Below are 21,514 nucleotides of genomic sequence, written 5' to 3'. Positions count from 1 at the left end.
TTTTAGTTTTAATGATATTCTCTTACTTCCACATCACCACCTGGGGAAAGGCCCCAGAGGAATTATAAGGGCAACTCAGAGAGCATCTGGAAACCACAGAGTTCATCCCATTATAATAATTACTATGTCCGACGAGTGCTTTGCAGTTGACAATGCTCACTCACATGTTAATTTCTTTGATTCTCATAAAAATCCTATAAAATTAGTACTATAATTCTAGACCTAGATTGTACAGTTGACAGGAAATTGCTGTCAGTTAATTCAGGTTAAGAGGCTAAGCCTAGGTCTCATAGCTAGTGAGGCCCCATGACCACCAACTAGGGTATCTCATGTCCAACTTGTGCTTCTTATACCAAGCTGTACAAGGTTCAACTGAATGCAACTTCACATTATTTTAAACTTAGAATATACACATGTATATGAAATTATTTAATATGTAACAAATAATATGTGTACTTATATAAAATAAGTGTATCCTTAATAAAATTGAAGTAGACCACTACTTTTTCACCTAAATGTCTGTTCGATTATCAATTTAACATATATGCTAAAGATACCATAAATATGTCTCATAAGCATGCTCGGTCTTTAAAAGTGCCCTTAAGGCTAGAGACTGACTTGGAACAGGAATCTATATATTTACATAGGCATGCTTACACACAAAGTACTATAATTGCATACATAATAATTATATGCTGTTTAGTTCCCCCCCACCCACACACAAAGAAATCAGCTAATATTCTTTATTACTATACAGCATTTTCAAAGATGCACCGTTCCCATGAGAAACCATCAATTTGTCCTACATTTTGGGGGCTATATGCTGAATCATACAGAAGACAATCTTGATCTGAGTCCCCACAGATAGCATCTTGCCTTCCATACACGTGGTGTTTCCTCTTTTTAAAAACATTACTAACTCCCAGACCCTCAAACTTTCATGTTGAATCTACAGTGCTGTGAAACCCTCTGCAGCTACAGTATAGACCATAGCTCTAGCAACTCATTTTCTCAGAAATAAGCAATTTCTCAGCTCCAGCCATGAACATGAAAGTTATTCTGGACTAAATTACAGTTAAAAAGAAGAGTAGGTATTACATTTCATTTGGCACTTGTGTGTACTTTCATAAACAGAAATGTAGACATACACGGATTTTGCTACTCACTATACCATTACAGGACACAAGGAGCCTTATGTGACAATGTTCCAAGTACGGTAAACAGCAGTTGGGCCTGAGAATTACAATTGTGTAAAATAAGCTATTGGTGTCAACACTGCTTTAGTCTCTATCAAATATCCTCTGAATGCTCAGCTCTCTTGCCATGTTCTATTGCTTATTTATAGTGTTTTCTAATGTGAAAAAACCACTCGTAAGAGATGAAAATGCCAATTGGAATTCCAATTCAATGTGTCCTTAACGTTGAACTAGCTCAAGGAGTATCCAGTGCCAGTCCCCACCCTCTGCCATGACACTAGGTGTAACAAAGAAGACACAGGGCAAGCCTGCTCCCCATAGGACTGTGCACGCCCCAAAGACCAAACACCTCAACAGACAACCCAAAGAAACCCCAAACAAAAAACCTGAAGTTGCTTATTATAATGTTTAATATGTCTCCTCATGTTGTCACAAAATACCTAGCTGCATTTGCTTCTCTTACATAATATATCCCAACTGAACATGGAGTTATAGAAATTTCCCAGCTAGAAACTTTGAGACAAGTCCCAGCTTTTTAAACGGATCTGGGGATCCCAACAACACATGCTTATATCACTGAATTCATGGAAAGATGCAAAGGTATGCCAGTGGGCAGAGATCTAAAATGCTTCCTTTCTGGGATATGATTTTAATCTCACTTTCAATGATGCTGTTTTTAGTTGCAGAAATAATCCTTCCACATGTCATAGTACAAGCCCATTTTTCTGCACTCAAGGAAATGGTGCTTGATTTACATATTTGGAGGCTGCTTCTAGGTCACAAAGTGAACTGAACTCAGTGTACCTGCTCTAGCCTCACACTTGATCTTTCCCACTTGCTGTTGAGGCAGGTCTGCACTATGTCAACAGGATTCCAGACTTACCTCAGTGATTAGAAGCAGATCAGCTGTTAGGAGCAGGAATTTCCACCAGTTGAACTAATTGATCCTATTCCCTTGTAAATGTACTTTCCAAGCTGACTCCATCTGCTAGGGCAATCGGGCCTTGATTCTGAACTTCACTAAGAATAATGCACAAATTACTATCCTCACTAGATTATGTCCAGCACTGATCAGCGGGAGTGGGGCCAAAAATGAAGGTGGTTGTCCAACCTGTTGGGGCCTGCCTGAGACCATGAAATTGACCGAAGGTAGATACTTAATGTGTGTAAAAACCCAGACAATAATGCCTCCTTACCTGATAGGGGTAGTTGTACCAGCAATGCCTCGTATTCCACAACCAGGGGGTCTGAAAAAAATGACAAAAAATATTTTACATATTTTAGAACATGGATAAGAGGATAAAAAAGGTTTACAATAGGCTCTTGCCCTAATATTTTTGGATTTCAATAATTTACCTGTGTGAGAACTGACAAACTTTAAAACAGCTAGGCATAGGATATTAAAGCAACTAGTATCATACAATATATTCTCTCTTGGTAAGTTAAACTCAACTGGTAGTATTTTAGGCTGCTTTTGGGATGCAGTTCCAGCTGGTGTTTTTTCTATTTTGCTGGTCACTTAGACATATTCCTGCTACATAACCAGCCTCAACAGCAGGGGCCTGCAGGGGTCTCACAGAAACCAGATATAAATCCTCCATCTCACTCTTATCTATAAACATTGATGACAGCTAGTATAAACTGCCCTGAAACTCCTCAGACTCAATGTTTACCAAGCGACATTATTCATGCCTTGACCAGGGTTCAGTGACATGCAGGTATACTTCTTAAGAAGGACACTTAAGACTAACCCTCACAGCACATGCCAACTCCTGACCTGTGATCCAGGTCTTTTTATGACAAAACAATCATTCTTAATTTGAGGAATTACTTGCCTTATGACACAGTATGATTAGGAAAATCTAAGTGTACACACAGATTCCAAACATTTGTAATAATCAGGGAGGGGTTGGTATGAATTCAAGCAGACAGCCGAATTATCCAATAAGACCAGCACAAACTTTCTCATAGTTTCAAAATAATTTCAAAAGAAGTATTAATGTTATAATTCTTTTGCATCCCTTATCTACAGCTCTCAGCACTTTCTGATATACATCTATATACATTTGATATACATCTATATGTTTCTTAAGATTAATCTGCCAACATCTTCATCAGCCCTGTATCATAGGAATGAGGACAATTAGCTTCAGGTGGCTAATATCTGCTGAGTCCTCCTTATGTCCTATATACTTTTAAAGCCTCCTACACATATTAACTCATTTAATCCTTATAGTAGCTACTAGTATTTTTCTTATTTTATAGATAGGTAAATGGAGGCCCCGAGTCTGTGAATAACTACCTAGGTTCAATAGCTAGGCAGTGCCAAAGTTGAAAATCAAACTCAGACTCTCTGGTCCCAAACCCAAACATAACCACTGTGCACCCTGTCTCTGAGTCTGATCAAACTAAACCCAATCTCAAGGTAGGGAGCCAGATTCCTGTACAAAGCCATGCACTGCCCTAAACCTAACTATGTTCCAGAATCTTTACATTTCCCTTTCATTCAAGCACTATTCATTTTCTTTCCGAGATCTTAATTAGGCTCCTGATTTTGCCTTTTGCTCCCTGTTCAACACTGTCTGTATCATGTAATTTCACTGCAGTTAACTTCCTCAGTGTCTGAGTTGTCTGTCTCCTCCATTTCTCTCATCTATAACATCAATGTTCATTATTGACCTCACAGAGTGATTGTGAAGATCAAATGAGAGCGTGTGCATAAAACTACTTGGGAGGCTTACTGTGTTTTTATAGTTCAGTCAGCAATATGTGTCCATTGAGGAAGATGTAAAAAATAAAGAATAAAAAATAAAAATAATTTAAATTTTCATCACCATTAACATTTTGATGTATAGCCCATTTTTGGTCTTTTGTCCCTATGTAATATAAACATGATACAGATCAATTTACTTTTAAATACCCATATATATGCAGGTTTTAAAAAATGTGGGTACAACACAGCAACATCTATTTTAAAGTACAAATGTTAGTTATTGCCGTTCTCTCTGATAAAGTTGATTATCTCCTCAACTGAAAGTCCTTGAAGGAAAGTTAAGTCATATGCATGTTTATCCTCTCACCATAGACTTCCAAGTTCACAGTTCAGCACTCATCTACTGAATGTTAATGAAAAGGAATACAGAATGGAAATGCAAGGCCTCATGTTCATCTAAATTTATCAGTCCCAAGACCATTGGGCATGTGTGTGCTTGCCCCTAAGGATGCAGCAGTCATCTCTGCCACTGTGCCCATCCCTTGCAGTGACAGGCAGGAGGGCAAGGTATAACTCTAAATGATGCAGAAAAATCCGTCGTTCAGAACTTCCCTTCCTTTGTGAGCTTCTTGGCTGATTAGTCTTCTAAAACCCAGGCTTTTCTCTGTGTGCATCAGATGTGCATCCCCTAGATCTGCTTTCATTGCATGCCCGATGCCTGACTGAACTGCAGAAACAGCGTGTAAGTGTCTGCCTCTTTTTGGGCTCCTGTGCACCGGAGGCAGGGGCACAGACCTGGATACCATGAATCTGATGAAGCTACCAGGGCCCAAGTTCAGCTCACAAGTTTTCTGGCCAATCATTTAGGAATATATTCTTTCATACAGAATGCATGTTCACATATACCCCTCACTCTGACAACGTCAGGTATTAATATCACCTTCCATATGCACAGTACATTTTTCTAGGATCTTAAATTAAGTTATACCCCCCAAACACTGTGAGACAGTGGAACAAATATCTTTCCCAATTTATAGATAAGAAAACCGAAGTCCATGAGTTGATTCTCCTGATTTCTTATAGCTCAACACTGGTGTATGAATCTGGATTGGCTGTTTATAATTTGGGCATAACTTCTTTTTTTTTTTTTTTGAGACGGAGTCTCACTTTGTCGCCAGGCTGGAGTATAGTGGCGCGACCTCTGCCTCCTGCGTTCAAATGATTCTCCTGCCTCCATTGATAAAAAATTTTCCAGTTTTTTAGAATCATTTCCACATTCATTTGATGTCAAAATCCATATATTCTATCACACAAATTATAGGACAGTAATGTAATTAAGAACTTAAAAAGATGAAATATTTAGACATCATAGAGGAATGGTGATTAAAAATACACTAAAACCCCTCAATTTAGAAAGTTAAGCCCTAACTAATAATAAAAGCTCTGTACCTAGGAGGTTGCATGGCAATTCAAGCACATTCTCCAGAAACAGAATGCCTTTTTCACATGACGTTACAGCATCAAGGAAGTTTATCAAGGTTGGAAAATCTGAAGCCAAATTTTGGGTCAGTCATTGTGGCTCACACCTGCAATTCCAACACTTTGGGAAGATGAGGTGGGAGAACTGCTTGAGCCCAGGAGCTCAAGACCGGCCTGGGCAACACAGTGGGACCTCATCTCTACAAATAATATGAAAACTAGCTAGGCACGGTGGCATATGCCTATAGTCCCAGCTACTCAGGAGGCTGAGGTAGGAAGATTGCTTGAGCCTGGTGGGGGCCAAGGCTGCAATAAGCCATGATTGTGCCAGGCATTCCAGCCTGAGCAACAGAGTGAGACCCTGTCTCAGAAAATAAATGTTGTTCTTATAACCTATGATTCACATTATTCCTTCTCACACATGTACACTTAAATCATGTTATAAAACATTTCACAGATTTAAAGTATTTTACACGTGTCATCTCATTTAATTCTGACAACATTGTAAGCAATCAAGATAATGTCACCAGCAGAGGCCAGCAGACGCCATTAAAGATTTATAAAAGAACATGCCAGCTCAGAGCTTCACCAACTGTTAAAATGCAGGCTGAGGTCTGGGCTTGGGGATGAAATTCTGCATCTCTAAAGCTCCCAGTTGATACTCATGCTATTAGGCCACGGACCACACTTTGCAAGTAGTAAGGTACTAGGGAAAAGTAAGAAGGCTGATTCCATCTTTTTGGTATTTACCATGTATCAGGCAGCTTGCTAAATACTTTGTTAAGATATTTCACAATTCAATATAGATAAATGAATTAATGAATTATTTCTAATCTTTGCGAGAATCATTTGAAGCAGAAGAACCACTGCTAGTAAAGCAATAGCTAAAGATAAGCTTCTCATCCAGCCTCCTTGGCTAGTACAATTCTGGTGGGAAGCTCTGGTGGAAGCAAAGTTTGTGTGTGTCACTTGGGGACGGTGCCCCTAAAAGGTCAGTGTGAATGAGTTCCTCTCACCCTTTCTCCATTCCTATTGAAGGGAGATAATGAAAACTGAAGCAGTCACCACTGGCCCTGAAATGGAAGTTTCTATGGAGTCTGGTATCAGAAGTCTCCCACCAGCCCTGATCTGCTTCCCTCTGGATTGTATGTATGAGATAAATAAATTCCTATCATTTCTCTCATATCTAAGCTAGTGTGTTTTGCTTTACTTTTATATACAGTAGCTTAGCCTGTATTCTAATATTAATACATGCATCAAGGTAAGTATCAATTATTTTGTAGACAGTCTCAGAGAGGAACCGTAATTAATTAAAGGCTACACAGCTGATAAGTAGAGAAAGTGGAAATCAAACCTAGGCCAGCTGGGCTCTTCCACTGTGCCTTCCGCTGGGTACTCTGGGTGACGAAGAATGAGTAATGAAAGAAAAACATCACAGGCATTTGGAATAGATTCCCCCAAATGAGCTATTACCTAGAAACACTGAATTTTAGGTTTAGAAAGGACCTCCAAATCCTGTAATCTACAGAACAATCCACAGGTCCAGATGGGTAACCAGTTCTTACTGTTACATAACTCAATGATTATCTCACTGACAAGATCCCTTAGGCTTCCTTCCTTAATTTTTTTTTTTTTTTGCCTTGGTTAACAGAAATTGCGTCTTTTTATTTATTCATTTATTTATTTTTTGCATCTGCCCTAATCACTAACATGACTGTATTTGAAGATAAGGCCTTTGGAAGGTAATTAACATAAAACGAGGTCATAAGGTTAGAGTCTTAAACCAATAGGGTTGGTGGCGTTACAAGGAGAGGAAGAGGAAGAGAGAGATTTCTCCCTCTCCACGCGCGTGCTCAGAGGGAAGACCAAGTGAAGACCGCAGTGAGAAGGTTGCTCTCTGCATACTAGGAAGAGTGCCCTCACTAGACGCCAATCCTTACCAGACCTTATCTGCAACTTCCAGCCTCCAGAACGATGAGAAATTTCCGTTGCTCAAGCCATCTAGTATGCGGTATTTTGTTACAGCAGTCTGAGCTGACTAACAGCATCATAAGAGAACTCCTCATAAATGGTGCTTATTAGCTATTAAATTACACGTCAACTAATTTCAATTTAAGAAGACTTATAAAATGTCTGAATAACACTAAGACAGGCCATATCACAGTGGATGAGAAATTACCTCTAACTCTCTCAATCTAAGCCACAATGTATAACGGGATTTTTCATTAGCTTATGTGCCTCTTCTCCCAGAGGCATCAATTGAGACATAACTCAGCAGCAAGCATATCCATCAGTAACATTCCCTTGGGAGGCATCTGTGGCTGTTCTTACCCTGAGCAAACCTGATCCTGGCACCAGGATAGGAGCCAGAAGCGCTGGTGCAAGTCAAGCCTTCATCGACATTTTGACCACACACGTAAGAATCGAGTGCAATTTATTCTATGATTTTTTTTTAAGAGAAGGGTAAAGAAGCATCTTTAAGTGTCAGTAAATCTGCTCTTTCATCCAGTATCTTCTTTTATTGGCTGCATTACAGAGGTTTCATTGTCAACAGAAGTCAGAAAAACAGATAAGGTCTGATACTTTACTTTACCATCTGCAATTATCATGTTAGTGAAAGCCTAAAGAGATAGCGATTTTGAAGCAAGGACCAGAGAAAAGGATATCTGATTAACCAGGCAAGTGGTCAATGGTTAAATAGAAACATAAATCACATACATACATACATGTGCTTTTCTCCCTCCAAGAACCAGTAGGCATCTGCAGCTGAATAAACAGTAGTTTCTTTGAATTAATAACTATTTTGATTTAAGAAAAGAACAAGAATCATAAAACATATTAAACACATTTTGTTGCCTCATCAAAGATGTAAAAGGTGTGTGGGTATTTACTCGAAATCAGCATCTTGAGGCAAATTTCATCTTTTGCTATTTCCGTGAAAACTCTTACCTAGCTTTCACAAAGCCCAGCTGATGCAACTAGGAGTCAAGGAATATAGTCTAACAGACATTTGTTCTCTATGTAGTTGGATTATGTTTAAAAATACCAAAAACCTAGATTCTTAAACTACTTTGACACTACTTTCACTAAAACTACTCTGAGAAAACACTCACTGAGTTATATTTAAACCTTATGCCTTTTGCTTACATTGAGGATTTACTCTAAGAAAAAAAACATAAGAAAAATGCTTCCATGAATTTATACTGGAAACGTTTACCCTAAGTCCAATGTCTAAGTTCCACAGGACATTTTTGCTTCAAAATTTAGTCCAAGGCAGGAGGAAATACTTCCTTTCTGTTAATGCTTAGCATGTTTCTTTGTGCCAAGTGATAATTATGTTTCCCCATTGTTATTAATACTTTTCCACCCTGGTTTTGAGAAGCTGAGATCTAATTGTAAAGCTCAGTCATAGCAAGTGTGATCTGTGATTGCCTCTCAACATCTTTGCTTATTTCTCTTTTCATGTGTAATTTTAAATGTTCAATATCTATATTAATTTGTTACCTAAATATTGAAGATTCTTTTAAGAAACTGTGTTATTAATTTAAATGAATATAAATCAAATCAATTTGAGATGATAATCTACAATTTTAATTAGATACACATTATAAAATAACTCGGAAGACAAAGAAATATTTCATATTTTGTGACTTTACAAAGATATAAATAAATTGTGTTTGGGATGAAAAGAATGAAGCCAGAAGTCTCTCAGCTTGAAGAAACTCCTGATTAGTGGTGAGCAGCCGAGAGCACTCCCAGAATGCAAGAGGTGTCCCTTCCTCCTTTCCTGGGACAGTAGACATGTGACTATAAATCTACCAAGCACAGCAGTAACCCCTCCCTAGAGGCCTGTGGCATCTGCATTAGCCTTGAAAGTTCTCCTGATGTGGAAATGTAATTTGGACTTGACCCCCTGGCATTACATAAAGAGTCCTTCATATTGATCAGGCTTTAAAAAGGATACTAGTCCTCTAGACCTGGTCTAGCATGTGCCTTTACCACATTCTGCAATCAATTTAGTAAGTAACTTTCAGATCTGTGAAGTATATATAGGTAGAAAGAGTTTTTTGGAGATGGGCACTCAGGTCACAGGATTTCCAAGAGGGTTCTATCATAGAAACAAGCAGATGGAAAACGTGAGTGGCATTTCCATGGCTTCTTAAGCCTTTCAGCCAATAGTTCTCAACTTCTGCCTCTTTTCAGCTGAGGGTCTCCACACACATCTAACAGTCACCGTGGTACACTATGCACACTACAGCTCAGGGTAAGAACGCTGTGATTCTCAAGAGTCTGGGGATATGGCGCTTGAAAGACCACCTCTCTGATGTGGACTCTCCTCTACACCCAGCAAGAATCACTGCAAAGTAAAAGAGACCAATCAATTCCATGTTTAGAACAGGAATTAGGGAGAAAGAGACCAGGTATAGAAAAGAAAAGATGAATGACAAAGAGGTAGAAAGACCTAGAGGGAGGGAAACGGTGAGAATGTCAACACACGGGGAGAGAGATGTGCAGGCCAATGTAGAATCTGACAATGAAGCCAGTGACAGTGGCTATTAAGAAGCACAAAATTAGTCAAAAAACATTTTAGAGAAATGATTGACAACAGATAAAGGATTACTATTTCTAATATGTAAAGAGTTCATAAAAAGTGATTAAAACATTTAAATATCCAATGAGAAAAATGGGAAGAAGATACAAACAGGCAACACATCAAACAAAAATATGTGACCAAAAGCACATGTAAAAATTACAGATTAAAGCTAGACAGAATTTTTTATCTGAGAGTCTGACAAATATTTAAAAAGGTTCATACCCAAAGGTCACTTATATACTTACAGGAAAACCAATACTCTGCAAACTGGAATAACCTTTCTAAAGGGTAATTTGGTAACATATATCAAGAGTCTTTAAAATGTACATATCTTTGACCCAGCATTTATTGTAAAAAATTAACTAGATCCATATATAAAGGTACTGATACATAGATATCTATTATAATTCTATTTACAATAAAAATTAAAAACATATCCTTGACTTAGCATTTATTATTTAAAAATAATTAACTAGACCCATATGTAGAGGAATTTATACATAGATATCCATTATAATTCTTTTTATAACAAAAATTAAGATAAATCGGATTGTTCAATAATACAGGGTTGACGTTTTCTTAATTTGGGATTCTCTAGAAAGAGTCACTGAGATAAAGACCCGGATGTAAGCTGCTTTGGAGAAAGTAAGATAGACAAAGGAGAAAAACCAACACAATTTTCAGGAATGAGCTGGTTACTGCTGCAGGCAACTGCATGGGGAGCCCCTGCAGAACCACATAGCATGGATCTTGTAACTGTCTCAACACAGGACAGGGATGCCGCAGCATTTATCCACCAACTCCCACCCCCCATTGTGAGAGTTGTAGTATTAACTCCCCCATTTTTCTAGGTTGTGTCTTCCTGTGTCTAGATGACCTCTGCAGCTCTGGAGAAAGAGCAGAAATATGGCCCAGCTTGTATGTCATGTGGCATACTGTCAAGGGTGCATGCAACTGCTCACTACCGCTATGCTAAAACCAGATGAGCTACGGAAATGTTAACAGGCACATTCATATTTTAAGTTAAGATCCGGTTACAAGAAGGTATACAGTGTACTTTACGTTTAAAGTAGATATATATTTAGACACACACACTAAAAATGCCTGGCAATATATTTACCCAAAATTGCTTAGTGGTAATCTCTGAGTAATAATTATTTCAGGGGATTTTTATTTTTTCTTATGTTCATATATTAACTATTAAATTACATATTGTCATAGCTATAATTTTTCCGCAATGAACAAGTCTTATCTGGATAATAAAAAGTCAAGTTTATGTAGTTTTAACAGGTCTTATTTCAAAAAACACACGGGCAAACTAAAAATAGAACTACCATATGATCCAGCAACCCAACTACCGGTTATATATCCAAAGGAGAGAAAATCAGTATGTCAAAGAGATATCTGCATTCCCATGTTTATTGTAGCACTATTCACAATAGCCAAGATATGGAATCAACAGATGAATAGATTTTAAAAATGGTATGTATACACAATGAAATACTATTCAGTCATATAAAGGAATGAAATCCTGCCATTTGTAGCAATATGAATGAGTTTGGAGGATATTACTTTTAAGTGAAATAAGCCAGGCACCGAAAGACAAGTACCTCAGGTTCTCACTCATATGTAGAAGCTAAAAAAGTTGATCTCATAGAAGTAGAGTATAGAATAGTGGTTACTAGGGGATGGGCAGGGTAAGGGGAGGGGGTTAGCCAGAAGCTGGTTAGTGGATACAAAATATAGCTAGAAAGGAAGAACAGTCCTAGTACTCTACAGTACTGTCAGGCACCTATAACTAACAACAATTTATTGTGTATTTTCAATTAGCTGGAAGAGTGGGTTTTGAATGCTCCCAACACAAATAAATAATACATGTCTGAGGTGATAGATGGCTAATTACCCTAGTTTCATCTTTATGCATTATATACATGTACTGAACTATCACACCGTACCCCAAAAATATGTAAAATTGCATATCAAAAATAATAAAAACAAGAATGAGAATAATTTTTAAAAACCCAATTTGCTCTATATTTATAAACAACGTTAATAGTGTTAATAATACACTGCCACCCTCAAATTATTCAATAATTCTAATTAACTTGAAATTAATAGCACAGGATATAGCTGCCTTTGGAGTATTTATATGTTGACAGTGATATTTCAACTACAAACAAATCATTAATAATTCTAAATTCCCAATTAAGAGAAAGTAGAATGAGAGAAATAAGATGAGCAAATAACAGAGAATAAAACCTTGCACTCAGTAGAGTGATAATTAACTATTCTGCCACCCACCCAACTTGCTCTCACCTTCCAAGATCCCCATCAGTCCCTTCCTTACTACTTATCAACCCATTTGCCTAGGCCTTAATCTATTTGTGCTATTACTGCACGCTTCTCATTCACACATTGTTTCAAGTATTAATTGAGTGCCTACCATGCATCAGGTACTGGGCTGGACATGAAGATGCAATGGACAAGCTCTCCATTCTCAGGGAACTTAGCATCTCCTGGGTAACCAAAACAATTACATTACATGCTACAGCAGGAATAAACACAAGTGGTTAAGGACATAGTACATGAAAAGGCACTTGGTCCACTTTGTGCTGCTATAACAGAATATCACAGACTAACTTGTAAAGAACAGAAATTTATTCCTCAGAGTTCTGGAGGCTGTTAGTCCAAGATCAAGGCACTGGCATTTGGTCTTGTGAGGGTCTTCTTGCAGCATCCTCACATGACAGAATGCTGAAGGGCAAGCTACCCAAAGGCTGTGTGAAGCCTCTTTTATAAGGACCTAAATCCCATTAAGGAGGAAGGAGCTCTCATGGCCTAATCTCTTCTTGCAGGTCCCACCTCTTAATATCATGTGGCAACACCTGAACTCTGGAGGGGACACATTCAAATCACAGCAGCCTTGGAGGGTGGGGTGGGAGGGGAAGGCTCCATGAGGAGGGGCCGGGTAGTTATAGACAGAGGACAAACAGAATGTAGTCAGTGAGCAGATGGAGGAAGGGAACTGCCAGATGGAGGGAAGAACCTATGCTTTCCTATAGCTCATGGACCAAGCCATTTCTCCAACATCATCATTTTTCCTTATCATCCCTTTCCTTGCATTATTCTCCAGATGAAAAAAGTTCAAATGCCTCCTCCCTATTTTCAGCTGAGAAGGTGAGATGCCCGTGCCTGGATTTCCAGGCTCCTGCCTGCTTGGCAGACCACTGTGACCGTGCACGACTAAGTCCACTCTTCCCAGCCAGCATCCCCTGCTCTCCCCAGGCCAACTTCTTTGTGTTCTATTCATTCCTATCTCCTTGCCGGAACTACTCAGACCCCTCTGTCTTTCTGCCTCTTGCCCAATCTTCCAGGCTCTAGTTTGCTGGCTTTCTGCCTCCAAAAATGATTTTAAGCATTTGTGAGTCTTTCTCTCCACAGAACTCCAGACTCTTTGAAAATGCCGTAGTTCGTAAATTACTTCCAATATTTAAGAAGTGCTTATCATGCTTCCCTGCGGTTTCATGCTCTTTGGTATTGATTTTCCTAATCAGTCATCAACGTTTAAAAAGACTTCTAAGCACATAGGAGGCTGCAGCTTAAAGGATATTGCTCATAAATAAGAACAATGTGGATCAGTGAAAAGAGGCAAGTAACCAAAGAGTAAACTAATATTTATTGGCCCTTTTCTTGATGTCAGGCACAATATAAGTCCCACTTGTAGTTTCAGGCATTGCTGTATGAGATGCTCATCGTAAACCTCATAAACACTATAAAGAGAATTGACAGCGTTGGCCAATGACCTGATTCCAAGCCTCTCTGAACCATGTCCTATCTGTGTGTGAGCGAGGTACTAATCTCCCTGAACAATATTTTCAAATAAACTGTTTTTCATGACTAAGATACAGTTTTGTCACACAGAGCGAGATTACGAGTAGAAGCCACAGATGAGAAAGAGAGAAAAGATGGGAAATTCTATTTTAACAACCCCTAATAGACACATCTGGATATACATACAGTCTCTTTATTTTTTAATTGACACATTGTAATTGTACATACTTATGGAGTACAATTTGATGTTTTAACACGTGTAGATATTGGATAATGACCAAATTAGGGTAGTTCATATATCCATCACCTCATGCATGTAATTGTTTCTTTGTGGTGAAACCACTCAAAAGCCTCTCTTCTATTTTGTAATATACAATATCCTACCGTTAAGCATAGTTGCCCTATTTTGCAATAGAGCCCCAGAACTTATTCCCCCCATCTAACTGTAACTTTACACTTGTTGACAAACGTCTCCCCACCCTCCCTTCCCAATCTCTGGTAACTACTGCTGTAATCTCTGCTTCTATGATAACTTTTTAAAATAGATCCCACACGAATAAGATCATACAGTATTTGTCATTCTGTATTTGGTGTATTTTGCTTAACATGATGTCCTCCAGGTTCATCCATATTTCTACAAATGACAGGATTTCATTCTTTTTCATGGCCAAATAGGATTCCATTGTGTATATATGCCACATTTTCTTTATCCATTCATTCAATGGACACTGAGGTTAATTCCATATTTTGGCTATTTTGAATGTTGCTGCAATAAACATGGGAGTGCAGATATCTCTTTGACATACTGATTTCCTTCCCTTTGAATACATACCCAGTAGTGGGATTGCTGGATCATAGGATCTCTTTACTTTTAATCCTATGAAAACGTCAATTATTCCAAGGAGTTGATGCATATTGTCTTCCCAATTAGTGACTAATACAAAGGTCTGTCTAAAGAGCCTTTGTGTTCCTCCCAGGGATTTTTACGAGGGCTTCTGGAGCCACGCCACCTCCTCAAGGCTCCCAACCCCCACCAGGAATGGAGAGCTGGCAGTAAAAGTGTAATTACTGTGTACAGACAGGTCTTCTCATTCCTACATTGAACAACTACTCAGGGGGGAAAGAAACATATTATGAAGGTAGAGGACACATGAAAATAAAACAATGGACTTAAAACAATAAACCAAAATCTTGTTCTTCCCTTGTTCCAAGGTAATGGGTTTTTCAGCTGGAAGTCTGACGATCCAGCCAGCCAGTGCTTCTCAGCCCCCTTGCAGTAAGAAGCAGGTGTGCTTCCTCCACATTTCCCTTTCCAGCCAGTGGGAGCTCAGATGAGGCAGGAATCTAGCTCCCGTAGGCCTGACAGTACCTCAGGCAGCGATTCGCGAAGGGCCATCTGCAGATTTTTGAGGGTCCCTGAATCCAATTTAGGAAGGTATGAAGTCAAAACTCTTCGTAACAATAGTAAGACGTTTGCCTTTGTCACTGTGTTGATATTTGTACTGATGGTAAAAAAGCAATGGTGCTGCCACACTGACTTCCACAATGGTTGAACTAATTTACACTCCCACCAACAGTGTAAAAGCGTTCCTATTTCTCCACATCCTCTCCAGCACCTGTTGTTTCCTGAATTTTTAATGATTGCCATTCTAACTGGCATGAGATGGTATTTCATTGTGGTTTTGATTAGCATTTCTCTGACGACCAGTGATGATGAGCATTTTTTCATATGTTTGTTGGCTGCATAAATGTCTTCTTTTGAAAAGTGTCTGTTTATATCCTTCGCCCACTTTCTGATGGGGTTGTTTGGTTTTTTTCTTGTAAATATACCCAAAAGATTATAAATCATTCCACTATAAAGACACATGGCTGGGCACAGTGGCTCATGCCTGTAATCTCAGCACTTTGGGAGGCCGAGGTGGGCAGAACACCTGAGGTTGGGAGTTTGATACCAGCCTGACCAACATAGAGAAACCCTGTCTCTACTAAAAATAGAAAATTAGCCAGGCGTGGTGGTGCATGCCTGTAATCTCAGCTACTCGGGAGGCTGAGGTAGGAGAATCACTTGAACCTGGGAGGTGGAGGTTGTGGTGAGCCAAGATCGCGCCATTGCACTCCAGCCTGGGCAACAAGAGTGAAACTCCGTCTCATAAAAAATAAAAAAAATGAAGACACATGCACATGTATGTTTACCGCAGCACTATTCACAATAGCAAAGACTTGGAGCTAACCCAAATGCCCATCAATGTTAGACTGGATAAAGAAAATGTGGCACATATAGACCATGGAATACTATGCAGTATAAAAAAGAGTGAGTTCATGTCCTTTGCAGGGACATGGATGAAGCTGGAAACCATCATTCTCAGCAAACTAACACAGGAACAGAAAACCAAACACTGCATGTTCTCACTCATAAGTGGGAGTTGAACAATGAGAACATATGGGCACAGGGAGAGGAACATCACACACCAGGGCCTGTTGGGGGGTGGGGGAGAAGGGGAGGGATAGCGTCAGGAGAAATACCTAATGTAGATGATGGGTTGATGGGTGCAGCAAACCACCATGGCACATGTATACCTGTGTAACGAACCTGCACATTCTGCACATGTATCCCAGAACTTAAAGTATAATTAAAAAAAAAAAAATCTCCAAAAAAAAAAAAAAGCCCCAAAAAACAAAGCAATGGTGCGTAAAACTGCCGGAGGCTTAGCAGGAAACAAGACAGTGGCACCAAACTCTACTCATGGACACTGTCTTCTTCACCAGCAGACAGTCGCGATTAGAAGGAAAAAGTTTCACTGATGACTATCCTTGATGAAGCATAAAAGTCATTAACTTCATTAAACCTCTACCCTCGAGTAAACATCCAGATGATGGAATGAGAAGTACACATGCAGCACTTCTGGGGCAAAAAGGCGGGAAGAAACTTGTGTGATTCTCATTTGAGTTGCAGGCTGAACTAGGCACTTTTTCATAGAGCGCCATTTTGATACAAAAGTATGACTGACAACGTGTGGTTTTTCTGAATTAAGTACTTGTAGACATTTTCTCAAAAATGGACAGAGTCTTTCACTTCAAGAAAATCAAATGACAGTATGTGCTGCCAATGATAAAATTCAAGCTTTTAAGTTAATATTGTTAGTATTTTGGAAAACATGTATAGTCCACTATGAACCTTACATCTTCCCAATAGCTAATAATTTTTCTGAGGGGATCAATAAAAACATTAACAAATGTGGGTTTTTAATATTCCATAATGACATGTGTAAACACTTGCAAGATCTCCGTACATCAGTGGACCAGTAAATTCCAAATGACCAATGCATGATAAAAAACCGTGTATGGGTGAAACAGCCATTCAAAGGAAGAGATTAATAGATGTTAACATTAACTGTGTATAAAAAGTCCACTGACATTAAAAAAAGACTGCTTGTTGACTTTTGCTATACTATCAAAGAAGAATATTTATAGTTTTCTGGAAAACACATTAAGATACATCTACCTTTCCCAACTACATATCTTTAAGTCCAGGTATTCTTCACATACTTCAACCAAAACAACACATCACAACAGACTGAATGTAGAAATAGGAATAAGAACCCAGCTGTCTTCTACTAAACCATATATTAAGAAGAACTGCAAAAATCTCTGATTTTTTGTTTTAGAAAATGGTTATTTTGGCCGAGTGCAGTGACTCACGCCTGTAATCTCAGCACTTTGGGAGGCCGAGGTGGGCAGATCACAAGGTCAAGAGATTGAGACCATCCTGGCCAACATGGTGAAACCCTGTCTCTACTAAAAATACAAAAATTAGCTGGGCATGGTGGCTCGCATCTGTATTCCCTACTACTTGGGAGGCTGAGGCAAGAGAACCGCTTGAACCCGGGAGGTGGAGGTTGCAGTGAGCTGAGATCGCACCACTGCACTCCAGCCTGGCAACAGAGCAAGACTCCATCTCATAAAAAAAAGAAACAAAATAGTTATTTTTTTCCAAATGTCATTTATGTTACCTTGTAAAACATTTATTATTATTTTGTTGTTGTTGTTGTTGTCCTTGGTTTTTGTTTTGTTTTGTTTTGAGACAGGGTCTCGCTCTGTCACCCAGGCTGCAATGCAGTGGCATGATCTTGGCTCACTGCAGCCTCAGCCCCCTGGGCTCAAGCCATCCTCCTGCCTCAGCCCCCCAAGTAGCTGGAACTACACGTGCATGCCACCATGCCCAGCTAATTTTTTGTGTTTTTTGTAGAGGCAGGGTTTCACCATGTTGCCCAGTCTGGTCTTGAACTTGTGAGCTCAAATGATTTAACTGCCTCGGCCTCCCAAAGTGCTGGGATTACAGGCATGAGTCACTATGCCCGGCCTATTGTTGTTATTTTTAAATAAGGTAATGTAAACTGGGCGCGGTGGCTCACGCCTGTAATCCCAGCACTTTGGGAGGCTGAGGCGGGCGGATCACAAGGTCAGGAGATCGAGACCATCTTAGCCAACCTGGTGAAACCCCGTCTCTACTAAAATACAAAAAATCTGCTAGGTGTGGTGGTGTGCGCCTGTAGTCCCAACTACTTGGGAGGCTGAGGCAGAGGGATTGCTTGAACCCAGGAGGTGGAGGTTGTAGTGAGCCGATTACGCCACTGCACTCCAGCCTGGCGACACAGCAAGACTCCGCCTCTAAATAAATAAATAAATAAATAAATAAATAAATAAGGTAATGTAAATTCCTCAACTTTAATTGTTTATACAATAAATACCAATAGATATGACAAATAGCTAACATCAATAACATAAACAAAAGCTATTTAAGATCCTGTATAATTGTTACAAGAGTAAAGGGTTCCTGATACCAAAAAGTCTGAGAACCACTGCCCAAGGATGGCAAATCAAGAAAAGAAAAAAACCCGTCTCTGAATATCACATGGAGCCGAGCTGCTCTGCTGGCCTAGGCCATTCAGAGTGGGGCTGTGACACGAGGCAGAAATGAACTTCTCTGTCCCTTAAGCCACTGTGCCGCTAAGTTTCTTTGCTACATTACTGATTCATCCTGACCAATTCAAGGTACATATGGCAAGAACTCCAGTTCTCAAGATGTAAGTTCCTTCAAATATATTTGCCAAATAAATAATATTCAGAATGTGCAATGTCACATCAATAGTATCCGATACCCAATTAATGTACACCCTCCCTCAAACTTCCTAGCCAAAAGCCAAAACTAGTATCAAGAAGCCAAAAACCAGTCAAATCAAGTTGAGTGTGGGAAGACTCTTTTTGTTAAGGTTAGCAATACAGAAGTTTAATTAGACAATCCTTAGCTGTGGAAGAGGAAAAGGGATGGCCTTTGAGATAATACAGCTTAATCAACCTTCAGGATTTTCACAAGTCATCTATTTTTAAAAATGAATTTATGTTGAGTTAAGGTCTAACTATTCTAAAAAATCATCATCCTGAGGACACTTTGAAGCAATTATATAGGAAAAGGTTGAAAAGCCAACTCTCTCTCTCTCAAAAACATCTTAGACACTCTCGGCTTGACTTTTCTTGCACATGAAATTTGACTTGCTTTTTAAAATGTTATCTTGTCATTATGCCTGGTTACTACATCTGAAAACCCATACGTAACAGGTCACGGTGTACGAATCATGACTCCAAACATATTAACAGTTCTGTATTTCCCAAACTCATATCCTAGGAGAAACTCCTAGTCATCTGCTGTCTAGAAATGATCGCATATGGCCATGGAAGACATATTTTACATAAGTGAATATATTAAAAGAAAAAATGTTGTTGTGCTGTTATTATTTGAGAATGCTACAGGAAAATACAAAATTCAAACACGTGCAAAGCAGCCAAATACTGGCAACATTAAATTATTTAAGCAGTGAACACCTCCTGAATGAATGGCAGAGGAATCCAGAGTAGAGAGACAAAAGTTCCTTAATTTCCCAATCCCTGCAATTACTGAAAAAGCAGGGAATAGGGAGGAGCAAACCAGAAAGGACACTGGAGCCCCACTCTCAGGCCTTAGTCTGCCATTAGCCAGCTGGGTGACACTGAGTAAGCCAATTCTCCCATCTGGCTGCTCATGTATAAAATTAGAGGCTGGACCAAATAATTTCTAGAATTACTTCAAGCCCTAAATTTCACCACCACCATTTTTCTCCCAAAAGACAAATCCTGGTTTGTCATGCTGACCGTGGTACTGACCGACCCCACGAATGGAAACTTGACATCATAGGGAGACCTCCCTTTTCCTTTTTTTTGGTAATAACCCAATTTATCCAGTGTAATTTAGACTTTTGAATCACTGATAATATTAAGCCACTTTTATTAAACACAATCAGGGCATTATTCGTAATCAGGACAATAAAAAGCTCATTTTGTGCAATTCTGTAATGTTGGAGTAAAACTCATAAAGTGAGTAATTGCTTCTCAATGTGTCCTCTATCTGTGAGGCTAAAGTTTTATATTATGTTTGGTATTAAAAAATAAAATTTTCTGAATTAAACACTGATGAAAATTTGATGATAATAATTTAGGAAATTAATACCCACCCTCTTCATAGCTACTTTCATATATTAGAATTCAGAATGAAATCTTAATTTGGTTTATCATTACTCAATACTAATAAGACAACTGGTCAAACTATGTCCTTCAAATAAACAGCACATCCTTATTTATTGTTTATCTCCTGATTTAGGATAGAGAAATTATCCTTTGAGTTCCTCAGTTAATTACAAGGAAGGAATTGATCTCTAGGCAGTTATGCTTTGATAATCAGTTTCTGATTTTAATCAAGCTTGTTTTGCTGTTTTCCCAGCTTCTCATCTTCCAAAATTGTGTAATCATTTTTTGGGGGAGGAGCTGCAAGATACAAGTAGGATAGATTAATGCAATTGAACTATGTCAAGAGGCTGAACCAGCAATACAGAAGAGATTTGCTGAATATAAGATAAAGCTTCTCTCTGAATGAATCAAGAGAGCTCTTAAAAACAATGAGACAGAAAGCCTTGGTGATTAATGAAACTAGGATGATATAGAAAATGTGATCTCAAGTTATTTCTCCATTTACTTGGAAATAAAAACTAGATGGCCAAGTAGCCACAGTCTACCACTGACCAACCTATATCTATGAAGTAGAACACACTAAGTAGAATTAGGCCTCTCTTTATCTTCTGTTGTATTTTTGGAACGCTTTTTTGTTTTGTTTACCCCAACACCTAATAAACTTCTGACTTCGCTGATGTCTACAATATTAGCCCAATAATGTTTACATTCTTGTAGTTAGGCTCATATTCTCATGGGGTTTCACTTATTACTTGCCAAATACCTGATTCTTCAGGTATATATACTATACTTTTCAGAACCTGCCTGTGCAAACAACTGAAAAACAAGATTATTACTGTACTAGAAACTGGCAATGTTGGAAAAGGACATGAAGTTGAAACGAGCTGGAGCCATCAGCCTTTAGGCCAAGGTATACAAATGACTTCATAACTTCAATCTATACTTCCAAGGGCTATGATTCAGAATGTATCCATGAGGCAACCATTAAACGGGAAACAGGCAAGAGACAATGACACTGTACTCACTCCAACTGAAACAACTTTAGTAATTGAGCTGAGATGACACACTGTTCCATCAACTTTGAGAAGTATTATCTAGAAAACTTATATGAAGCTAAGGTGTAATTCCACTTAATAGATGCAT

The 21,514-nt window shown here is 38.8% G+C and overlaps 1 protein-coding gene across 4 annotated transcripts in view; it reads right to left on the bottom strand.

The window, feature by feature from the left end:
* Positions 1 to 21,514, bottom strand: part of CERS6 (ceramide synthase 6) — a 318,863-nt gene that overhangs the window by 81,658 nt on the left and 215,691 nt on the right. For 3 of the 4 annotated variants that reach the window (NM_001256126.2, NM_203463.3, XM_005246440.6), the window contains one exon: positions 2,393 to 2,443. In NM_001256126.2, the coding sequence (NP_001243055.1) occupies positions 2,393 to 2,443 (51 nt within the window). Of the gene's footprint in view, positions 1 to 2,392; positions 2,444 to 8,106; positions 16,474 to 21,514 lie in introns of those variants that run through there. The other variant, XM_017003749.3, reaches the window with a different exon arrangement.

Source organism: Homo sapiens, chromosome 2 (assembly GCF_000001405.40).
Source record: "Homo sapiens chromosome 2, GRCh38.p14 Primary Assembly".
Taxonomy (NCBI): Eukaryota; Metazoa; Chordata; class Mammalia; order Primates; family Hominidae; genus Homo; species Homo sapiens.
The sequence above is the reverse complement of the archived record's forward strand: the minus strand, read 5'-3'. Positions and strand labels throughout refer to the sequence as shown.